This window comes from Homo sapiens, chromosome 15 (assembly GCF_000001405.40).
Source record: "Homo sapiens chromosome 15, GRCh38.p14 Primary Assembly".
Taxonomy (NCBI): domain Eukaryota; kingdom Metazoa; phylum Chordata; class Mammalia; order Primates; family Hominidae; genus Homo; species Homo sapiens.
Window position 1 is genome coordinate 64,150,903 of NC_000015.10, and position 21,239 is coordinate 64,172,141.

Consider the following 21,239-nt stretch of genomic DNA (forward strand, 5'->3'; position numbering starts at 1 on the left):
TGTTGGTCAGGCTGGTCTCGAACTCCTGACCTCAGGTGATCCGCCTACCTCGGCCTCCCAAAGTGCTGGGATTACAGGCGTGAGCCACCGCGCCCGGCCAAATCATCTCACTTTATACACTTGCCTGAAGGAGCCACGTTATCCCTATTTTGCAGATGAGCAAAGGTCTACGGAGCTCCTGAAATCCAGGCAGTCTGACGTCCAAATCGGAGTCTAGGTCCCTAAACTGCCTCTTCCCCACAAACAGCCTGGAGCCCCTTAGGGTTGGAAGATATGAGTGAATGGATGGATGAAAACAATGAATGAATGGGGGGGCCTGTGGATGCTGGGGAAAGGGGCATCAAAGCTGGACTGGGTCCAAGCCTTGCTCAGGTGTGGCCTCAGCCGGGGAATCCAGATCACAATTTCAGGGACCAGGCTGAAAGGAGGGAAAGGCTCGGGAAGGGACTGAGGAACCCAAGACAGGTCCCTGGTTGGCCCCAGGACCGGCGCTGAGGCCCGGGCCCCGCCTCCGTCCGCGCCTGGAGCCACAGGCCGTCCTTGGTAGGCGCTTAACTCAGGTTGGGTGACATTTTCGCTCGCCAGTTCCTGGCATCAGTGAGTGCTCCGTCAATGTTTGACAAACGGTTGACTCCACTGCCCCGCGCTGTGGGCGCACTAGACTTCGGGGGCGGCGTCCAGGTCCCGCCTAATCTTCTAGGCTCAGGACCCGCGGCGCAAGGGAACGCCCGGGGCGGGGTCGCCTGGGGGCGGGGCCTGGGGTGGGGCCTGCGGACCGAGGGGGCGGAGCCGGCCGCCCCGGGGTCCTCAGTCCGCTCCGGGAGAGTTAGGGCTCCGAGCCGAGCGCGCGGAGCAGCTGGGGCCGGGGCGCGGATGCTGGAAGTTCACATCCCGTCGGTGGGGCCCGAGGCCGAGGGGCCCAGGCAGAGCCCGGAGAAAAGCCACATGGTGAGCGCGGCCCCTGGATGGGGAGGGGCGCCGGGACCCGCAGGATTTCCCCGCGCTGCGCTCAGTGGGGACCCGGGGCCCGGGCCTGGGTGAACGAGCGCTGCGGGCTGGACCGTCGGGGGAAACCTTGTCGAGGGTTTGGGGGCCGCTTGGATTTGCCAGCCTCGCGGACCATGGTTCGAGCTCTTGAGGGACCCCAGGGCTCCGAGGGGCAGGTCCGCCAGCCGGTTCTCCCAGGTGTGCGGGAGCGGAGAGTCCCCGGGCAGCCGCGGCGCCGCAAGGCCGCTTTGTGCCTTTGAGAGCGGGAGGGTGGGCACGTCGCCAGGCGCAGGTGCTGCGGCGTCCTCCCGCGGGGCCTCACGCGCAGACCCGCTGCCCGCCCGCGCCGCCAGGTGTTCCGAGTGGAGGTGCTGTGCAGCGGGCGCAGACACACGGTGCCAAGGCGCTACAGCGAGTTCCACGCGCTGCACAAGCGGGTGAGGCGGCGCCGACCTCCCACCGGCCCCGGCCCAGCCTCTGTCCAGCCCCCGCCCAGGCCCTGTGAGGCGGGCGGGCGAGCCCCAGCCTCCGCCACCCCCATTACTGCCTCAGTCCCTGCGCAGCCGGTCAGCCCCCGGGCCTCTGTGGGTGGGTTGGGGCCTTCCTCGCCCTCGGCCGGTCCACCACTCACCAGGGTCTGTCCCAGTAGAGCCCGAAGGCGGGGGCGCGGGAGGGCTTCTGGCTGGGGCGAAGAGGGCTTGAGGGCTCAGTCGGGATGCTGTGATCGCACGCGGTAAACCTCCAGTAGATCAAGAAGCTGTACAAAGTGCCCGACTTCCCCTCGAAACGCCTGCCCAACTGGAGGACCAGAGGGTTGGAACAGCGCCGGCAGGGCTTGGAGGCTTACATCCAGGTATGCGAGAGCACAGTTGGTTGCCCCCCGGCCTTCTGTGCCAGGGGTGTGGCCCAGACAGAGAGGTGTGGGGGCATGGCAGGGAGGGAACCCACAACTTGGGGATGTTATTCACCACCTCAAGCATCAATTTTCTGAGTCTAATATAGGTCCAAACACCCCCCTCTGGCTTGTTGAAAGGACTGAAAGAGGTAACGGACACAGGTAGTCCCAGCTCCATGAAACCCAGGTCCTGTCCCCTCCATGGTGAGGTCCTGTGCTGCCCTCCTGATGGCATGTAGGGTGAGGGTCCTTCCCCCAACAGCAAAGCTATGCCGCGTCATGGGGTACAACCTGTGCACACAGCGCCCAGCGCCCAGAAGGGCCCTGAGCCTGGTTCAACGCTCTGCTGTCATTGTCGTGAAATTCTTTTTTTGGAACAAAGAGCCCTGCATTTTCACTGGCACTGCGCTATGCAAATTAGTAGCTGGGTCTGATTGCAGGTCTCCTCTGTCCTCTCCAGGGCATCCTGTACCTGAACCAGGAGGTGCCCAAGGAGTTACTGGAATTCCTGAGACTTCGGCACTTCCCCACAGACCCCAAGGCTAGCAACTGGGGGTAAGGGGGGCCGATGGCGGGGGCCAGGGGCTGTCAGCAGTGAGCAGGTGAGGAAAGGTGTTGGAGGGCAAGCCCTTTCTTTTCACATCTGCCAGGATCCAGCATGACCGCCCTCACCAGCTCTCTTGACCTGGGTGGAGGGGCTTTTTTTTGGACAGACTTGGTTACCCCCGCCACCTCCGGAACTGGGGCTTGTTACAAATAGAAGCAGTGGTCCCCTGGGAGGTGCAGTTCTGGGCTCTGGTGTCTCCACCCCTTCCTCACGCTCCCCCGGCATCCCCAGGCAGCTTACAGTGTTTCTCTTCTCTTCAGCACCCTGAGGGAGTTCCTGCCTGGCGACAGCAGGCAAGTCAAAGCCCTAGCCCGCGCTTGGCCCCTGCTGCCCCCTAGTGGCCATATGCTAGGAGGCAGGCCTGCTGCCTGGGCCTGTCTGGCCTGGGCCCTGAAGTCTGTTTTCCCTTTGGTGCCTCCTGAGCCCATTTCCCACTCACCTTTTCCTTCATGGGTCCCTGGTGATGGCAACCCCGTCTCCACCCCTCTGTGGGATTCTGCCCTGCCTCCCGCACCCATGGTTCATGACCCTGTTTCCTCCCAGCTCCCAGCAGCACCAGCGGCCTGTCCTGAGCTTCCATGTGGATCCCTATGTTTGCAACCCCTCCCCAGGTGAGGAGGTGCCTAGATATGGGGCTACAGGGCTGGGTTGTGGGCTTTGCATTTCTCGGCTCCTGGGACCCTCAGACAGCATCTCCTTCCTGCTGCCCACCTCTGGAGCCACTACCTCCTGCTCCTGTCCCCTGGAGCCTGCTTTGTAGACACAAGGAAAACAAGTTTGGCTTCCCTGGTCTCCATTTCTTCAGCAGCCTGACTTCTTTACCAAGCTGATGTGAAAAGAATGTGACCTGGGAATGCGGAGGCTTCATTTGGGGTGGACAGCTGCTGTCTGCTGCCTTGGCAGGGGCTCCTACTCCCAAGTGGGGGCTGAGCCCATGAGCAGGAGCTCAAGGAGCTGCAGGTCTGAGGCCAGACCTGTTTAATTCTATCCCACAGAGTCGCTGCCCAACGTGGTGGTGAATGGTGTGCTCCAGGGCCTCTACAGCTTCAGCATCAGCCCAGATAAAGCCCAGCCAAAGGCGGCCTGTCACCCTGCTCCTCTGCCACCGATGCCCTGATCAGTCCAGAGGCCTTTGGCTGCCTCCTAAGAAAGTCATGTGCCTCTGTCCTATGAACTCCATATAAGGCTGGGTCCTCCTTTGGCCTGGACCCAGGACTTAATTACCCAGTGCCCAGTTGTGCCACATTCCCACTCAAGGCTCAGAACTTGGCTCGCATTGGTAGCTGGAGGTGGTAGAATTTGTATGCTCTTAGAGCCCAACAGCCAAGGCAGGGTCAAGAAGATAAGTAATAAAAGAGGAAGTCAGCCAGGCGCGGTGGCTCATGCCTGTAATCCCAGCACTTTGGGAGGCCAAGATGGGTGGATCACCTGAAGTCAGGAGTTCGAGACCAGCCTGACCACCATGGAGAAACCCCGTCTCTACTAAAAATACAAAATTAGCCGGGCATTGTGGTGGTGCATGCCTGTAATCCCAGCTACTCGGGAAGCTGAGGTAGGAGAATCTCTTTTTTTTTTTTTTTTTTTTTTTTGAGACGGAGTTTCACTCTTGTTGCCCAGGCTGGAATGCAATGGCACGATCTCGGCTCACGGCAACCCCCGCTTCCCGGGTTCAAGCAATTCTCCTGCCTCAGCCTCTCGAGTAGCTGGGATTACAGGCATCCGCCACCATGCCCGGCTAATTTTTGTATTTTTAATAGAGATGGGTTTCACCACGTTGGCCAGGCTGGTCTTGTACTCCTGACGTCAGGTGATCCACCCGCCTCGGCTTCCCAAAGTGCTGGGATTACGGGCGTGAGCCACCGTGCTCGGCCCAAGGCAGGAGAATCTCTTGAAGCCAGGAGGCGGAAGTTGTGGTGAGCCGAGATCGCGCCACTGCACTCCAGCCTGGGCAACAAGAGTGAAACTCCGTCTCAAAATAAATAAATAATAAAGGAAGAAGTCAGCTGGGTGCAGAGGCTCATGCCTGTAATCCCAATACTTTAGGAGGCCAAGGCAGGAGGATGCTTGGGTCTGGAAGTTTGAGACCAGCCAGCGCAACATAGTGAGACCTGTCTCTACCAAAAAAAAAAAAAAAAAAAAAAAATCAATTTAGAGGTAGGCTATGAAAAAGTACAGATACATCCCTTAACATAGACTGGAGGGTGGTGGCAAGGGGAGCAAATGTGGAGGCCCAGTAGCTGGCAAAGTTTAGAAGCAGGGGGCAAAAGCTCCTGCCTGACTTTTCCTGGGTAGCTCCTGGGTCAAAATTTCAGGCAGGATCCCAGGGAAGGGGCAGGCACCCATTGCCACAGGAGAGTTGCAGGCATGTTGGGATGTAGGCCTAGGGGAGGTGCTGCAGGCTCAAGAACCAGGCCCACACATTATATATTAAAAAAAAAAAAACCCACATTTTTTTTTATTGGTCAGTGTTGGTAGGAGTTTGTTACAAAAGTGAGTCCATGGGCCTGTGGAATGTGAGGGGAGTGGGTCCGCTCCACCAGATGCCAGCACCGGGGCCAGTGCAGCTCAGAGCCCTGTGGCGGACTACAGGGCCTGCACAGACGGTCACTCAAAGAAAGATGTCCCTGTGCCCTACTCCTTGGCGATGGCAAAGGGCTTCTCCACCTCGATCTTGCCGCAGTCTGCGATGATCACATCCTTCAGGGGTTTATCCCGGCTGTCTGTCTTGGTGCTCTCCACCTTCCGCACCACCTCCTGGAAAAGAAAGGTGGAAGCAGGAGGGCATGGTGGATCAGGAGGTCCACCGCTCAGGAGAAAGGCCCCAGCGTATGGCTCAGGAGGGCTAAGACCCACAAGTGATCAACAGCACACAAAACTGGAGGCACCAAAATTCTAACAGACTCCTGGCCAGAGCAGGGAGAATGCAGATTTGACGAGGGGGTACAGGAATTTTGTTCCTTTGAAGTAAGACCCAGGTTGGGCCAAGGGTGAGGAGGAGGAAGAGGGTGACCAGGGCATGTGGCTTCTCAGGGACATTGCGTTCAGCTGCACTCTGTATACCTCAGGGGTGGGACCAGCACGTCACTGAGTGAAGGAGGGGAGGGAGGCTCTGGCAGTTGTGCAGCCTTCCTGGCTGGGCTCTGAGGGGGCTGGAAGAATTTAGAACCTTGGAGGCATGGAGGTACAGGGTTTATTCTGGACAGGAGCACTGGGCTGCATCTGTGGGTTGGGTCCTTTTGGGAAAGGGATGGACACATGGAGCTCCTGCCCTGGGGTCTGTGTTGAATCCCCGGTGAGGATTGCCCAGTAGTAGCCCTTGCTTCCACAACTCACCATGCCCTCTAGAACTTTGCCAAACACCACATGCTTGCCATCTAGCCAGGCTGTCTTGACTGTCGTGATGAAGAACTGGGAGCCGTTGGTGTCTTTGCCTGCGTTGGCCATGCTCACCCAGCCAGGCCCGTAGTGCTTCAGTTTGAAGTTCTCATCGGGGAAGCGCTCACCGTAGATGCTCTTTCCTGGGAAAAAAGACAGAGCAGGTCAGGGGCGCTGGATTGCGCCAAACCAAGCAGACATTCGGGGCCAGGACTGAGGGGGCTTAACCTGTCCTCTGTGCCAGGCTAGGCTGGAGTGGACTACAAGGACATAAAAGCAGCGTCCTTCCTATCTTCTGGCCTCAGAGCCAAGCCATGCTGACTGAGGCCAAGTGGGGCATCAGGCCAGGCTGATGTGGTGAACAGCTCACAGAAGGATTACTTTGAGAAGATAGTTTTGTGGCTTTTAAATAAGGCGCATGTTATCAGCTCCCCTTAGCTATGGCCCAGGCCTGCCACGGAGGGACTTTGGTGGAGGGAAGTGCCGTGCAGGATGCAGGGGAGTCAACAGGGTCGGAACTCTCCAGAAAAGGAGGACTGCTGTGGCTGACCAGCCTGTTTTCCTATGAGCACAAAAGACACAGGCATAGCTGCAGAGGAGAAAGCAGCCAGAGATGTGTGGGGAGGGGCAGAAAAGAGGGGCTGCCCCTTGGATTCTGGAGAGTCAAAGCCTCTTAACAAGGAATGAACAGGAATAAAAGACAGCTGTGAGTGTGTGTGACGCGTCTGTCCACGTGGGGCTTGGGGATATGGTAAGGGCAATCCGGAGTGATCTCTATGCCATTTCAGAGATCCTAGTTCCAAAGCTGCTTCCACGAGGAACACCGAAACCCTTCTTTTTCCCTATCACCCCTTGGAGACTGACACTGTGCATGAGGCCCCAAGAAACTCAGCCAAAAATGGGGTCATTTTCATTTTGTTTTATCTAACACCTTTCAAACATATTTGCATGCAAAACTCTTTTTTCCTTCTCACTGCACCTACCTTCATCCTGTGGTTCCACAGAATGGAACTGAGCTGGGAAACTGTCCTAGACAGATGCCAACCAGGAAGATGTTTCTGATTGGGCAGCAGGTAGGATGACTGAAAACCAAGAATGACCAGACTCTGGCTGGTGGGGACAGGGTGCTTCTGCCTGTGCTCCACCTCTCACCCCCACGCTGGGGAGACTGGACTCTGCCACATGTGCAGTGAGACCTGGCTGGAGTGCTGGCTAAAAGCCTCCCCCATTTGAGCCAACTGTGGGATTTTGATTATAGTTGTTATCCAGAAAACCCCCAAATCTCCATCCTTAGCTCCAGCCACTCTCTCAAGATACAGGGGTTCCAAACTCAAATGGACATTTCTATTTAAACTCAACATACCTTGTCATCTTTCTCTCCAGACCTCAGTTATTCTTTTGACCCCTTTTCCTCTGCACGTGGCTCAGGTTGTCCCTACCCACTCCCCATGTACTTACTCTTTCTTTCCATTCCCACCACCACCGCTGCAGTAGGCGAGTGCTTAGGGTGCTCATAGTGTGAGCCAGAGACTGTTCCAAGCATCTTACATATTTAACAATCCACTCTATGAGGAGGAGCTAACTCCACTTCAAAGATGAAGAAACTGAGGCACAGAGAATAAAAGGAGCCCCAGCAGAGCAACAGCGGGGCTAGAGTTCAGACCAAGGTGGTCTGCTCTCGAATCTCTGCTCTCAGCCACCTCAGGATCAGGTCCAAATCTCCCTGCCCAGGGTCAGTGGCACCAATGCCCCCAGCAGCCTGCCTGCCCTAGCCTCCACATCCTGGATCTGCCACCACATGACTCCCCTGGCACCCCAAGTGAGGGGTCATCCTCTTACTCAGCTCTGTGGCCCTGACTCCCTGCAGGCCGAAGCCCAGGCTGCAGGACATCACCCACCTCTCTGCACTCCGGGTACAGATGTCCTCACCCCACCTTTGGCCAAGCTCCTGCCACAGAACAGCACCGGGCTCATGCCCTAACCCTGCCTCTTTTCTGCCCGTTCAAATTCTCCTCATTGAGGACCCCACTGAAATCTTTCCTCACATCCGCAAGGTCATTCCCCCGTTCCCTGGCCTGAGGGGATCCCTCTGCTTGTCAGCACTTCAACAATGGCTGACTTACTAAGCACTCACTGCATGCCAGGCACTTCACACTCCAGATCTAGCCCAATCCTCATGGCCCCACAACTCTCTCCACCCTCACTGTACAGAACAGGAAACTGAAGCTCCAAGGACTCACTTGCCTGAGGTCACAAAACAAGAAGGTGGCAGACACTGGATCGAGCCCAACTGCGTCTGACTCCACAAATACAGTTCTTTGGTCTCCTTTGTGAGCCTGAGTCCTAAACGCTGCATCATGGCTCACTTGTACATTTTCAGTTGTTGGAAGTAAAAGGGAGCCACTGCCCCATGGGTCTTCACATCCTCAACCCCCACCACAGAGCCCCATAGACACTCATCGAGGAGTGAGCTGTGTTCTAAGGGAGCAGCAGGCTGTACCTGAGCTCAGTGAGACTCATGCAGGCGTCCGGGGGTCTTTCTGTCCTATGTGTGCAAGTTAATGCCAAGGTGAGGGTCGGCCCTCACAGAGTGGTCTCTGGTGAAAGACTGTCAAGGAAAGTAACTGCTCCCACTCTTTTTTTTATTTTTTTGAGATGGAGTCTCGCTCTGTCGCCCAGGCTGGAGTGCAGTGGCGTGATTTCGGCTCACTGCAACCTCCGCCTCCCAGGTTCAAGCAATTCTCCTGCCTCAGCCTCCCAAGTAACTGGGATTATAGGCGCGTGCCACCACGCCCGGCTAATCTTTTGTATTTTTAGTAGAGATGGGGTTTCAACATGTTGGCCAGGCTGGTCTTGAACTCCTGGCCTCAAGTGATCCAGCCACCTTGGCCTTCCAAAGTGCTGGGATCACAGAGTCACCACGCCTGGCCCTCTCACTCTTGCTGGGGCTTCCAGGGTAGCCTGGACAGGCTTTGGGCATCTGACCTAGAATCGCGTACCCACATGTCTTCACTTTGCTTCCACACGCCTCTCTCCCCAATCCCCATTCTGAAGAGGTATCAGGAAAGGTCACCAGGCTATAGGCCTGGATCAGCAGGACGGTCACCTGGGAGAGATTCTCTTAGATCTACCATCAGGTCCACCCCATTATTCTCTCTCCTTTGTACTGGGTTCCCTCTTCAAAGAAGGGTGCCGCTGGTCTCAAAGTAGGTAAGTAATAAGTAGGCCTGCCTCTAGAGCTGGGGAAGAAAGAGGCCTGGTCTCCCCAGCAGAACCTGGCCCTCCCACTGTGGAGGCTACACTGACATACTCCTTGGCCCAGAGGACCTGTGGTTACCTCCTGTGCCATCTCCCCTGGTGAAGTCTCCGCCCTGGATCATGAAGTCCTTGATTACACGATGGAATTTGCTGTTTTTGTAGCCAAATCCTTTCTAGAAAAAGGGAAGAGAAGGTAAGGAGGTGGTATGGGGCAGCAGGAAGACATTACATTAAATAGGCCTCACAGGAACAAGTCCACAACTCCTGCTCGCAGAAGAGACACCACTGCTGACCACTTTCACTGTTCAGTGTGCTACTAAGTGAGCGGGCAGGCGCCACAGGACAGGCATGGTACACACAGATGTGGAAATCCCTCTGCCTCCATACAATTCCCAAGCTTTATACAATTCTACATCACATAATGCTTTTCCCCTCATTTCTTCCAATCATAAGAACAGATACAAGAAAACTGAGAAGAAAGGTCACCTGCTGGCTCAATGGAAAGTTAATATAAACTGAAATAGGGCACTGTTGTTTCCTTAAAACCCACTGCCCTCACCCTAGGTGAAGTCTCCCCAGGAAGCTCTGGACCCCTTACTCTTTTTTATCTCATTTTTTAAATTTTATTATTATTTTTTTGAGACAGAGTTTCTCTCTTGTCACCCAGGCTGGAGTGCAATGGCACAATCTCCGCTCACTGCAGCCTCCACCTCCCAGGTTCAAGCGATTCTCCAGCCTCAGCCTCCTGAGTAGCTGGGATTACAGGCATGTGCCACCACAATGCCCAGCTGATTTCTGTATTTTTAGTAGAGATGGGGTTTCACCATGGTGCCCAGGCTGCTCTCAAACTCCTAAACTCACATGATCTGCCCTCCTCCGCCTCCCAAAGTGCTGGGATTACAGGTGTGAGCCACCATGCCCAGCCTGTTTTTTTATTTTTTATTTTTATTTTTGAGATGGAGTTTCCCTCTTGTTGCCCAGGCTAGAGTGCAGTGGGGCAATCTCGGCTCACTGCAACCTCCACCTCCTGGGTTCAACAAATTCTCCTGCCTCAGCCTCCCAAGTAGCTGGAATTACAGGCGCCTACCACTACACCTGGCTAATTTTTTGTATTTTTAGTAGAGACAGGATTTCGCCATGTTGGCCAGGCTGGTCTCGAACTCCTGACCTCAGGTGATCTACCCGCCTCAGCCTCCCAAAGTGCTGGGACTACAGGCATGAGTTACTGCGCCCGGCCTTTTATTTTTAATTAATTTATTTTTTTTTTGAGACAGGGTCTCACTCTATTGCTCAGGCTGGAGTGCAGTGGCATGAACATGGCTCACTGCAACCTCCATTTCACTTCAGCCTCCTGAGTAGCTGTAGCTGGGACCACAGGTGCACCCCGTCACACCCAGCTAATTAAAAAAAATTTTTTTTGGCCGGGCATAGTGGCTCACACCTCTAATCCCAGCACTTTGGGAGGCCAAGGCAGGCGGATCACCAGAGGTCAGGAGTTCGAGTTCAGCCTGGCCAACATGGTGAAACCCTGTCACTACTAAAAATACAAAATTAGCCAAGCGTGGTGGCGCATGCCTGTAATCCCAGCTACTCAGGAGGCTGAGGCAGGAGAATCACTTAAACCCGGGAGGCGGAGGTTGCAGTGAGCTGAGGCCGCACCACTGCACTCCAGCCCAGGCGACAAGAGTGAAACTCCGTCTCAAAAAAAAAAAAAAATTTGCGGGGGTAGAGACAGGGTCTTGCTATGTTGCTCAGGTTGGCCTTGAACTCCTGGGCTCAAGCAATCCTCCTACTTTGGCCTCCAAAAGTGCTGGGATTTTAAGTGTGAGCCACTGTGCCTGGTCAGGGCCCCATTACTCTTAAGAAAGGGCAATACTGTGTTCCCAGGGCAACAGGCAGTCGGTGCTCAGTGAGGTCCACGCTACAGATCGGCTGAACTCTGCAGGTCAGTTTGCTGCCATCCCCAGTGCCAATTTCACTTCATGTGAGTTGACTACCCCTGCTCCAGCCACTTACCTCTCCTGTAGCTAAGGCCACAAAATTATCCACTGTTTTTGGAACAGTCTTTCCGAAGAGACCAAAGATCACCCGGCCTACATCTTCATCTCCAATTCGTAGGTCAAAATACACCTGAGGAAAGAGACCATTTCCAACTTAGCTTCTTTAAAGGGGCGTTGCTAGGGGAGGGAAGGTACAAGAAGCTAACCTGAGGATGGGAGAGAGAATAGAGCCATATTTTTAGAGAAGTGGTTCTGAATCTGATTTTGGTGACGGTAAAAATCCTATGAGAATCTAATGAAAGCTCCAGACCCTTTTCTTGGAAAACATGCTTATCTATACCCTCCTTGGACTACAGGATAACAATATTTGCTCTAAACAGCTAATGGACCCAGATTCTAAAAATTAACATTAGAAAACCCATAAGGAGCGGAGCCTAAGTTCACCACTTAAGTTTGAAGTATACATACTGTGCTTTGTAATTGGAAGTGGCTAAAATTTGGCTTAAGGAGAGAAAGGATTCGGAATCCGGCAGGCGTGATCTTTCACCATCTCCCCAGCACTGAGGGGTGTTTGCAAAAAGCCTGCTCTGAGACTGCCAGTGTCGGCCCCAGATGGGTATCCGGGGATCCAACTAACTCCCTGGGTCAGGGCAGGGGCTGGGGGTGTCGGGGTGGGTCCGGGTCGTTCCCTGGACTGAATGGGCAGGACGGCCCAGACGCCACGAGGCCACAGACAGAAGCCGAGGGAGGAGGGGCTGAGCCAAGGCCAAGCCAAGGCCGCCCGGGCCCGAGCTCCGGCACCGTAAATGCCGCGGACTCCACCGGACCTTGACGGTGACTTTGGGCCCCTTCTTCTTCTCATCGGCCGCAGAAGGTCCCGGCAGCAGCAGGAAGAAGACGGACCCCGCGATGAGGGCGGCGGCAAGGAGCACCTTCATGTTGCGTTCGGAGAGGCGCAGCATCCACAGGCGGAGGCGAAAGCAGCCCGGACAGCTGAGGCCGGAAGAGGGTGGGGCCGCGGTGGCTAGGGAGCCGGCGCCGCCACGCGCGGGTGGGGGGGACTGGGGTTGCTCGCGGGCTCCGGGCGGGCGGCGGGCGCCGTTTCCCCCCTCCGGCTCGGCGCCGGATAGTAGGTCCCCCTGCGGGGCGGGCACCGACGCGGGCTCGTGGGTGGTTGCCACGTTATTGCTCCCTCATTGGGCTCCCGGCCGCCCTCTCCCGCCCACAGGAAGGCCACCGGCGGAAGGCGGCCTCGCAGAGCACGGGCCCGGGCTCCGAGAAGACCACAAGCCCCGGCATGCTCCGCGGCCCGCCCCGCCCGGAGCGCTGTTCCACTGGCCTGCGGTAGCTGGCGCTTGAGGTTAGCAAATACGTGGGCCTGGACAAGGGGCACGGGAAGCTTGTCACTGTTTTGGGCCAGTCAAGTGTTTGTCACCGCCAAATTGGCTCTAAACGTTGTGGCTTCCAAACACTTCAGGGACATTTATCCTTACCGAGCGTGGCCTTGTACGGCTCCTCCACTTGTCTTGCAAAACTTGCTGCACAACCCACTTCCTTTTTTACTGAGGCCGTCAAGTTACTACCCATTTTTCTCTCCCTTCTGTAATCTTGCTGTGCTTACTGTTGTGTATATCAATGGACATCTTATTGTATACGCTGTTCTTAACTTCCTTTACCTTTTCCCCCAATAGACTACATTTTTTTTTTTTTCTGCGGAAGGGACTGTGTTGCATTTACTCTGTCCACAGCTCCCTCACAGCGCGGCAGTACTGAGTGCCCAACAAGTCCTGGTTGGGATAGCTTCACATCCGCACTGACATGAGAAATAATTTATGCCACGGCCTGAGGATACAATGCCTTTTTCCGGAGGTCAGGAATAGTTACTAGATGTCCCCACAGGGCTATTTTAGGTCTTCACACACTTAGTGTTGTCCCAATCTACAACATAGATACTTTGGTACTGGGAGTCTTACACACCAAAACAAACCAAAACACAAACTTCCAAAATTTGGACCTATGGCGTTAAAACGTCTTTAAAACTAATTTTCAACGATTAACTTCGTAGAAATTCCAGGTCGTCACAGCACAGATTATAGGCAGGGCTCCATTTACATAAATTATGCAATGTAGTCTTCATGAGGCGCTGACCTGAGACTGAAGTTATGCAAGGCCACTGGCATTAACTTTGTTGTTCATTACAGCGGCCTTACACAGGTTGTAGAGCTTCAAGACAGTTCTCTTATTTCCCATCCTTGCACCTCAATTCAGACAACCCCAATCAGGAGGAAGTTTTAAACATTGTTATACTGACAAAGATGATCTTCCAGATCCATCTCTCATCCCTTTTTTTTTTTTTTCTCCTATTTTGTTAAGCCTCTTTCTTCACTCACTGGTCTCAGGCTGCCATAGCCAGAGAAAAATGTTTACTAAATCATGTTTTCAAAGTAGCCTCCAGCTGGGCACAGTAGCTCATACCTGTAATCCCAGCACTTTGAGAGGCTGTGGCAGGCAGATGACTTGAGTCCAGGAGTTTGAGCCTGGGCAACATGGTGAAACCTGTCTCTACAAAAAATACAAAAATTAGCAGGGCGTGGTGGTGCGCATCTGTAGTCGCAGCTACCCCAGAGGCTGAGGTGGGGGAATCACCTGAGCCCAGAAGGTCAAGGCTGCAGTGTACTGTGATCGTGAAACTGCACTCCACCCTGTCTCAAAAACAAAGAAACACTCAAAAAACCCAAGTAGCCTCCTGCACATGAGGAGCTAAGGCTAAAATGGCATCACAGCAGCCTTTCTCCCACTCCCACTTTCAAAAGAAATCAGGTTGATGGATAAAATGCTCTCAATGTGAAACTTTTCTCTCATGATTCTTCCACTGCTACCTGCCTGTGAAAAAGTAATTAAAGAGTAGTAACAAACTGGAAGGAGTCAATCATGCCCAGATTGACAGTTGTTCTGTTGGCTACATATGCAGTATGGTTTTACATTGCTCATCATAGTTCTATCTTCTGTCTGGACACATATTCCGCATTTGTAGAGGAGAATTATAAAGCTACTAAAGTTGTTCCACAGAGCAGATCCTGATTTCCTGTGTTCTACCACCTGAGAACAACAGGGACCCAGGAACTAACGTATGAGTGATAATGTCCAAATTCTTCCAGGAATATTTATTTATTTGAGACGGAGTCTTGCTCTGACGTCCATGCTGGAGTACAGTGGTGCGATCTTGGCTCATTGCAAACTCCACCTCCTGGATTCAAGCAATTGGCCTGCCTCAGCCTCCTGAGTAGCTGGGATTACAGGTGTGCACCACCACGCCCAACTAATTTTGTATTTTTAGTAGTGACAGGGTTTCACCATGTTGGCCAGGCTGGCCTCGAACTCCTGACCTCAAATGATCCACCCGCCTTGGCCTCCCGGAGTTGCTGGGATTACAGGTGAGAGCCACTGCGCCTGGCCAATATTTATTTTTTTAATTAAAAAATAATTTTCTTCTTCAGCACTCGAAGAGAGACAGCAGTATTTATTTTTGAAGTGACTCACAGGAGAAGACAATATTTAATCCAAGGAATGAAACAAGAATGCCAAATTATTTTTGTTCACAGGAGTCTTGAATCGCATCAAAGTTAGTCCTAGCTAGATTGTTAATTACAAATGAGCCGAGGGAGATTAAAAACAGACAAACCAATCAACCAACCAAACAAGCAGAAGTAGCCAAGAAAGGTAAGACATTTTATTTTACATACAAAAAGGGTGCAAACTGAGTCCTTTCCTCCCCAAACTGGGGAAGAGGTATACTTAAAGATCACATTTGTGTTTTCCATGGTGCCCTAGGAAATGGGCTACTCTGAGATCACATATCAGAACCCATTTTCCATTTTCTCCAAAGAAGGCTACTTCCTCTGCAGAGAAGATTTTCCTAATGGTGCACAAATATCTCTCCTGGAGGAACCATTTCAAATACACTTGAAATTGACATTCATGTTTAAAAATACTACAAATTTCATTTTCACAGCTGAGCTTTGTGACCAGTGCCAGGGTTTATGAAACATTATACATCTAAAAAAAAAAAAAGTAAAAAAAGAGGCATTTAACAATAATCAGACACATCCACACATTAAAACTGATTTCCACTGCTGATTTATACATTATCTAGTTGTTTAAAAATCGCAATCAACATCCCAACATCTTTTTAAGAGTACAATGGGCAAAGATCAAAGACAGATAAATAATAATATAATAAATTAGAGCATGTAATACATCCTATGGGAATTGCTGAATCAACATTATTTTCCATTGGGGGGTATATATTTTTGGTTTATCTTTATCTTTTCTGCTGTTATTTTTTTTCTCTGCTTGATAAAATGGGGCTCATTCCTAAAGCCAGCTTGCTGAGACACTAATTTCAGAAGCTCACTTGTCACTTGTTTAACCTCTGAGAATACTCAGGAACACATGGTTCCCAGCAGCTTGGGCTGGGTCTTTATGGAAGTGAAATGCACATAGATGAACACACGCACTCACGTGCGCACACACACCACACACACACACAGACACGCAGTCACACACTTCCATCTGTAAATATATTTCTCCCCAAAGAAATGGCTCATCTTTCCTGAGACATTCCTAATAGACTGATAAGCCTTCTAAAAAAGGCTTTTGGTGCAAGGGCTGGCCTGGGATTTGGTCTGGAGCTCATGAACTGAAAATGTCTCACCTGTACTGAAAGAGGGGTGGGTGGGGACATTCAGAACAGCTGTCCTCTTGTGGGTGTTACTGGAATGGCTGCACCACACCCCCACTTATTACCATGAATAATCCTCTGCTCTGAGACCTTATAGATGGTGATGGCACTGGGAAAGTGATTGTGAGGAGTAAAAGAAGAAAAATAAAAGAAATTCTGTCTACAGAACGGAGGTTTCTTTGTAACATCAGGTTTGGTAATCAAACTAGAAATACAAGGAATACGTGTTCACTTTTTCCCTTGAAAGGTGATTTACAAATACCGGAAGTGGGTTTTCTGGTTGTGTTTTGAGAAAATATGTCAACTACCACTGTGTATTATCCAGGGAACCTACTCACTATTTTGAATACAATGAGAAAACTATTTTTTTGTACTTAGTCACCTGCAAAAGGAGTTAGGAAAAACATTTTTAAGACTGCTTGCTGGACAAAAGACTTTCAAGATTCCTTACTTGTGGCTAAAACATTGCTCAAAAAGGATAAACCCACATAAGGGCCATGGTTGCCTCTTCTTTTTCTTATTCAGAAACAAAATCACCCCCCATACACCAAAAAACAAACTGAAAACCAAAAACAACAACAAAAAAACAAAACCCAAAGCCAAAGGAATCCCAATTTGATTCCTATCAACCCCTCATGGGAAAGACTAGGAGTCTCTGCCATCGACCTCTAGACAGGACTTCCCTGGAGTCTGCAAAAGCAAGAACCCGAGAGATAAGTGCCTGTCACTTACGTGGCCAATTCAGATGGGTTGCCTAATTATCCTGGCTCCCTGAGGGTTTCTGGAATTCATCTGCCCACCATAGGGCAATGGTGGGGATGGTGGCAGTGGCGTGGCAAAGGCAATGTTGGCTGTATGGTGTTGCAGGCTCCCAATCTGAGAAACGAACCTTAATATGGTTCTGACACTGGAGACAATGTTGTTAGGGCAACTCAATGGGAATGGAGAGCTGGTTTAAATGTGAAATGGAAGAGGTGGCTGGAACACAGGAGGCATGTGGGCTTGGGAGATGCATCAAACGAAAGTTCCTCTGAGAAGACGTTTTCTTGGCTGCCATGGAAGTTCTCATTTTTGAGAAATGCAAGCCATGCTTGCTCACTGGGAGGAGGAATGGATTTTATCTTTTACATAAAAAAGTTAAGGCTATAATCTTTAGTAACCACTTTGACGTTACATTATCATTGTTACATATTTCTGGCATTAAAAGTGGTTACTAGCACTGAAAATCAACACTGAATATGCACTACCAGCATATCTTCCCACTGAACTAAGTTTGGAAATTACTTTAGGGGTGATGGTCACCTTTTCTGGCTGATGGACAGGGACTGTTTTCTAAGTACTTGGAGTTCATTTAGAAAAAAGAGACAATCAACATGTCTAGAAACCTCAGGATCTCTGCTGTCATCTGTAGCTCATGCATTCCAATATAAAATGGGATTTTAACTGGAAGCTAATCTTGTACCTTCCTAGACCCTGTTTATTGCTGGACAGGCTCCATAATAGCAGAAGAATGTTAATTAAGGCAGTCATGAGTGCACACTGGCTGTCAGGATACTCTATCCACCCTTGGGGGCAGTCTGGAGTGAGATCTCTGGAAAGCACCAAGGTGCGTAGAGCAACTTGACCAACTCTTACTGCAGAGACACAAGTGATACCCTGGTCAAAAGGGAGTAGGGGGGACCATTTATGCCTTGGTGGAGTCTTGGCCTGTGTGCCTCAAATCTGTTTAGGATGCAATGTCTGAGGGACTGTAGAGCTTGGGAAAACTCCTAATGTATACTATTAAGGGTTTTTATGAATAGATGCTGAGTTAGCTTTCAGGAAAAACAACTGCATCAATCCTAAAGAAAAAGATCGTTAGGCACCATACTTGTGAAATGGAGAAAGCTCAGAAACTACAGAGCAAGTGGATGGGTGGGGACAGTCAGCGAGTGCATGCCCTAACCCCAAGGATCTGGCTGAGGCATACAGCTAAGGAACTGTAGCAGTAGGGTTGAGGAGGGAGCCCTGATTCGCTGATGGGCCTGAAACAAATGGCCAATTGCATCTAGGGTACTCAGGTTTTTTGCTTATTTTTAAGGAAGATCCCACCAGAATCTCCCAGGTCTGGGACCACTTTGAAGTGCCAATGGCTCTGGAGGGATCACCATTACTCTGCATGCTAAAGGGACCTGGGATTCTTTACCCTTGTTATAAAAACCAAATATCTAGTAAGAGATTTGTGAGGTTGGAAGGTGAGAACAGTGTCTTAGGAAGTACAGTCCCCTACAACTGATCCAGTAAAAATTTTAAGACAAAAAAAAAGTCGCAAATCCAGCTGCAAGGCAGCTTGCCCTGCAGCCAAGCTGGTCAGTGCCTTTGCTTTTGTGTGTGTGTGTGTGGAAGCAGGGTGAGGGGCTGAAGAGAGGCACTCAGTAGAGTATAGAGTGCCAGGATGCTCCAGGCATTCCCACCATTTCCCTCTGCCCTTTTTTTTTTTTCTTTTTAGACAGAGTCTCACTCTGTTGCCCAGGCTGGAGTGCAGTGGTGCGATCTCGGCTCACTGCAACTTCTGCCTCCCAGGCTCAAGTGATTCTCCTGCCTCAGCCTCCCGAGTAGCTGGGACTACGGGAGCATGCCACCATGCCCAGCTAATTTTTGTATTTTTTGTAGAGACGGGGTTTCACCATGTTGGCCAGGCTGGTCTCGAACTCTTGACCTCACATGATCCACTTGCCTTGGCCTCCCAAACTGCTGGGATTACAGGCGTGAGCCACTGCACCTGGCCCCCCCTCTGCCCTCTCTTGAGAGGCAAGGCATTTTCTATACAGGGGTGAGGAAAAGTTAAACTTTCTATACAGTAAGTTAGCAATGCCCAAATCCCAACTGAGAAACGATGTAAATTTTAGTGATAGGGCTGTAACCACTAGGTAATGGCAAGGACATAAATCCCAATATTCACAGTCCTTGTGGGGAAGGGGTGTGATATTGTATCTCCCTGCCACTTTATGTTTCATATATAGAAACATTTATAGAAATGACATATTACCATCTTTTCATAAGCTAAGCAGGTTTGATGCCAGTGAAATGATATTCCCTAGCCAAGGTCCAATGGAACAGATGAAGCCCAGTACCTCTGATCCATGTTAATGTTATTTCTGCTCTGTGTAAGGTACATCAAGGGAATTTTTCAAGAAATGGCAACTATCAGAAAATATCCCCACACCCTCCAGTACAAAAGACAGCCCTGCACCTCAAACCAGAGGTGAAGACTTCTATGGTCCACAAACCATCAGACTAAGTCACCCACCAGCCACTGTGCTCCATGGTTAGCTCTCTACTCCCAGATACAAGACCTCTTTCCTGATGTAAATGACCCTTTCTCTTCTGTCACCGCTGGAATGAGGAGTCATTGTTTGGTTAAGCCACTAAACTCAAATGAAAATTGGGCATGAGAAGAGTAACTCCACACATGAAAGACTTGTCAAACAGTGAATGAGGAACCAGATCCTTCACAGTAGTACCTCATATGAAAACACCATGGGGGGAGGCCTAGGGCATACTGGGAAAAACATGCTTAGAGGCACGGCCACCTTTCTGGAAGGAGTCCAATTGAGAAGATAATTTCAGACCTTTCATTCCAGTCTCCTTTTCCCTGGAATGTTCCAGCACCAAACAATCTTTCCCTCCTTTTAAATGCGGCCCCATATACTGCATCCTAAGCCTACTGCTATGGACCTGCTGGGAGAAGATCTTCATAAGCTTGGTTTCTGATAAGGCAGGCCAGCCCAAATGCTACAGCTCAGCTATTGGGGCAGATAGGATACACCGATTTTCTTTTCCTGGCCCTATAATGCCACACCCTGAGGTCCCTCTGGCAGGTGGAAGGCAGGTTCACTGTCCTCTTTTTTTCCACTAATGGCAATATGGTGGTGGCTGTTTCATCACTAATTTTTCCCCCAAGTCACCAGGACGTCACATGGCTATCTAGTTGGAAGTCCCTGGCAGCATGGGAAACAATTTCAATTTTTTTTTGTTAAGCATCTCCTTCTCTGGGATGAGCTGTTTCCTGGTCACAGTCTGGCTCGGCTGGCTCATCTCATGTTCTGGAGAGCTAGGTTTTCAAACTGTAAGCTGATTAGGTCAAGATGCTCTGGTAGGGACATTCTTCAGCTGCTGAGAAGATGAATGAAAATTCAAGTATGTTTTCTTGCCAACCTGAGTGTTCACTCAGAATGACACCGAGTTTGGCTTCTCTTCTGGGTGCTGCAGATCAAACTCTTTCCACTGAGAATGTCCTCTGGACCCATGTTCTCTCTGAATGGCTTGGCCGGCCCCATCCCCCTCAAAACAGGTAAAAGTAAAACCCCCAATATAACCAGACACAATATGCATCTGCCATGTTTTTGTTTTTGTTTTTTTTAAAAAAACTAAAAGTGCAACAAAGTCAGTTTTCTTTCCTTTGCTTAGAACAATTTTCATTGTCCTACTACCTGGAGAAAAGAGTTTGTCAAAAAAGCTAAGAACGCCAACACACAGGGACAGTAGACTGCAGATTGCTCACAGCTTGTGTCCTACAGTGTAACTTCACAGGAGGGAGGGAAGAAGGAACCTGAACCCCAAGGCCAGCTGGGATGAATGCTGCACAGGCACAGAGGAAGAGGAAACCATACTGCCAGGCACACCTGGGATACGGAGAAGGTTCTTCTCCAGCCCAGGTCTGCCATTTTCCTCCTACCTTCTTGGCCTTACCCCCAGCCTCTTGATCTCCTTCTGCAGACAAAGCCTTTAGCTCACTAGGTTTTATGCTGGAGAGGGTTGAGGGTGGGGTAAAAACCAGGAGTAAACTAAGGGGAAGAAGGAGAATAGCAGTCCTTGAGTTTTTGTGAATGACACCTTCACTGTAAACAATGGGAAGGAGAGTCAACCAGGCAGCCCTATGGGCAAGCAGTGGAGGAACAGCAGCTCTGGGACCTGCTCAGAGCCTTAGGCAGGCGGAGATGGCCAATGACCCACTAGGCCCTGGCTGCCCGCACTGGCCCCTTCTGGGGGCATCTGTTTTCTTCTTTTTGGTTTGGATATCCACCCTCCCCCAAAGAGGAGTCCCTTCCAATGAGAAATGGCAGGAGCTGCAGGTACAATTGAGTCAGAGTCCCCAGGGCCTGAGGACTCCTGGGAGGCACTGGTCACTTGTGGCGCTGAGCAGTCTTCTTCCTTTTCCTCTTAAAGAAACAGCAGCACCTGGAGCACAAGGAACATTGCAAGTCAGTGCGGGAGGCCTGCAGCTTCCAGCAGACTTCTGCCTGCTTCTGCTTACTGCAGGGGTGGAATTTTCCCCCTAGCACCCACCCATAGGGACCACCCACCATCTACAGTGCACGCACTGGAGGCAGTGGG

General features: G+C 51.2%; 3 protein-coding genes across 9 annotated transcripts in view, besides 14 other annotated features; 1 reads left to right on the top strand and 2 right to left on the bottom strand.

Moving 5' to 3' along the window:
* Positions 515-954: a silencer, noted in NCBI's record as "silent region_6528". NCBI's record gives its function as "represses an Ori minimal core promoter by ATAC-STARR-seq in GM12878 lymphoblastoid cells {active_cell/tissue: GM12878}" and the evidence as "EXISTENCE:reporter gene assay evidence [ECO:0000049][PMID:35858748]".
* SNX22 (sorting nexin 22) lies at positions 829-6,579 on the top strand. Of its 4 annotated transcripts, none has more exons than NR_073534.2 (7): positions 829-948; positions 1,341-1,424; positions 1,736-1,840; positions 2,343-2,484; positions 2,750-2,782; positions 3,033-3,100; positions 3,485-6,579. NR_073534.2 is itself a non-coding variant. In NM_024798.3 (7 exons), exons 1-7 carry the CDS (start codon positions 874-876, stop codon positions 3,604-3,606), a joined length of 582 nt encoding a protein of 193 aa, NP_079074.2. In that variant the 5' UTR covers positions 829-873; the 3' UTR covers positions 3,607-6,579. The 4 variants fall into 4 exon arrangements, 3 of the variants coding, with proteins under 3 accessions (NP_079074.2, XP_016878070.1, XP_005254734.1); NM_024798.3 differs by having other exon boundaries at positions 2,343-2,437; XM_017022581.2 differs by lacking the exon at positions 1,341-1,424 and having other exon boundaries at positions 2,343-2,437.
* Positions 1,155-1,534: a silencer, noted in NCBI's record as "silent region_6529". NCBI's record gives its function as "represses an Ori minimal core promoter by ATAC-STARR-seq in GM12878 lymphoblastoid cells {active_cell/tissue: GM12878}" and the evidence as "EXISTENCE:reporter gene assay evidence [ECO:0000049][PMID:35858748]".
* Positions 2,525-2,754: an enhancer, noted in NCBI's record as "active region_9561". NCBI's record gives its function as "activates an Ori minimal core promoter by ATAC-STARR-seq in GM12878 lymphoblastoid cells {active_cell/tissue: GM12878}" and the evidence as "EXISTENCE:reporter gene assay evidence [ECO:0000049][PMID:35858748]".
* Positions 2,778-3,509: an enhancer, noted in NCBI's record as "H3K4me1 hESC enhancer chr15:64445879-64446610 (GRCh37/hg19 assembly coordinates)". NCBI's record gives its function as "activates a minimal SCP1, AML or CMV promoter by ChIP-STARR-seq in primed H9 embryonic stem cells {active_cell/tissue: H9 hESC(primed)}" and the evidence as "EXISTENCE:reporter gene assay evidence [ECO:0000049][PMID:30033119]".
* Positions 2,778-3,544: a biological region, named in NCBI's record as "H3K4me1 hESC enhancer GRCh37_chr15:64445879-64446610".
* Positions 3,255-3,374: an enhancer, noted in NCBI's record as "active region_9562". NCBI's record gives its function as "activates an Ori minimal core promoter by ATAC-STARR-seq in GM12878 lymphoblastoid cells {active_cell/tissue: GM12878}" and the evidence as "EXISTENCE:reporter gene assay evidence [ECO:0000049][PMID:35858748]".
* Positions 3,385-3,544: an enhancer, noted in NCBI's record as "active region_9563". NCBI's record gives its function as "activates an Ori minimal core promoter by ATAC-STARR-seq in GM12878 lymphoblastoid cells {active_cell/tissue: GM12878}" and the evidence as "EXISTENCE:reporter gene assay evidence [ECO:0000049][PMID:35858748]".
* On the bottom strand, positions 4,915-12,120 carry PPIB (peptidylprolyl isomerase B). The gene is made up of 5 exons (NM_000942.5): positions 11,950-12,120; positions 11,139-11,252; positions 9,202-9,295; positions 5,823-6,007; positions 4,915-5,243 (listed from the first exon to the last, which is right to left on the bottom strand). The coding sequence occupies exons 1-5, from the start codon at positions 12,082-12,084 to the stop codon at positions 5,121-5,123; spliced, it is 651 nt and encodes a 216-aa protein (NP_000933.1). The 5' UTR covers positions 12,085-12,120; the 3' UTR covers positions 4,915-5,120.
* Positions 10,679-11,243: an enhancer, noted in NCBI's record as "H3K4me1 hESC enhancer chr15:64453780-64454344 (GRCh37/hg19 assembly coordinates)". NCBI's record gives its function as "activates a minimal SCP1, AML or CMV promoter by ChIP-STARR-seq in naive H9 embryonic stem cells {active_cell/tissue: H9 hESC(naive)}" and the evidence as "EXISTENCE:reporter gene assay evidence [ECO:0000049][PMID:30033119]".
* Positions 11,477-11,977: an enhancer, noted in NCBI's record as "H3K27ac hESC enhancer chr15:64454578-64455078 (GRCh37/hg19 assembly coordinates)". NCBI's record gives its function as "activates a minimal SCP1, AML or CMV promoter by ChIP-STARR-seq in primed H9 embryonic stem cells {active_cell/tissue: H9 hESC(primed)}" and the evidence as "EXISTENCE:reporter gene assay evidence [ECO:0000049][PMID:30033119]".
* Positions 11,477-12,034: a biological region, named in NCBI's record as "H3K27ac hESC enhancer GRCh37_chr15:64454578-64455078".
* Positions 11,785-12,034: an enhancer, noted in NCBI's record as "active region_9564". NCBI's record gives its function as "activates an Ori minimal core promoter by ATAC-STARR-seq in GM12878 lymphoblastoid cells {active_cell/tissue: GM12878}" and the evidence as "EXISTENCE:reporter gene assay evidence [ECO:0000049][PMID:35858748]".
* Positions 11,978-12,478: an enhancer, noted in NCBI's record as "H3K27ac hESC enhancer chr15:64455079-64455579 (GRCh37/hg19 assembly coordinates)". NCBI's record gives its function as "activates a minimal SCP1, AML or CMV promoter by ChIP-STARR-seq in primed H9 embryonic stem cells {active_cell/tissue: H9 hESC(primed)}" and the evidence as "EXISTENCE:reporter gene assay evidence [ECO:0000049][PMID:30033119]".
* Positions 12,085-12,444: a silencer, noted in NCBI's record as "silent region_6530". NCBI's record gives its function as "represses an Ori minimal core promoter by ATAC-STARR-seq in GM12878 lymphoblastoid cells {active_cell/tissue: GM12878}" and the evidence as "EXISTENCE:reporter gene assay evidence [ECO:0000049][PMID:35858748]".
* Positions 12,585-12,634: an enhancer, noted in NCBI's record as "active region_9565". NCBI's record gives its function as "activates an Ori minimal core promoter by ATAC-STARR-seq in GM12878 lymphoblastoid cells {active_cell/tissue: GM12878}" and the evidence as "EXISTENCE:reporter gene assay evidence [ECO:0000049][PMID:35858748]".
* The window catches only part of CSNK1G1 (casein kinase 1 gamma 1), a 190,649-nt gene continuing 184,032 nt past the window's right edge, over positions 14,623-21,239 (bottom strand). For 2 of the 4 annotated variants that reach the window (NM_001329606.2, NM_022048.5), the window contains exon 12: positions 14,623-21,083. In NM_001329606.2, coding sequence (NP_001316535.1) covers positions 21,029-21,083 — 55 coding nt within the window. In that variant the 3' untranslated portion in view covers positions 14,623-21,028. The remainder of the gene's footprint in view (positions 21,084-21,239) is intronic. The other 2 variants (NM_001329607.2, NM_001329605.2) reach the window with 1 other exon arrangement.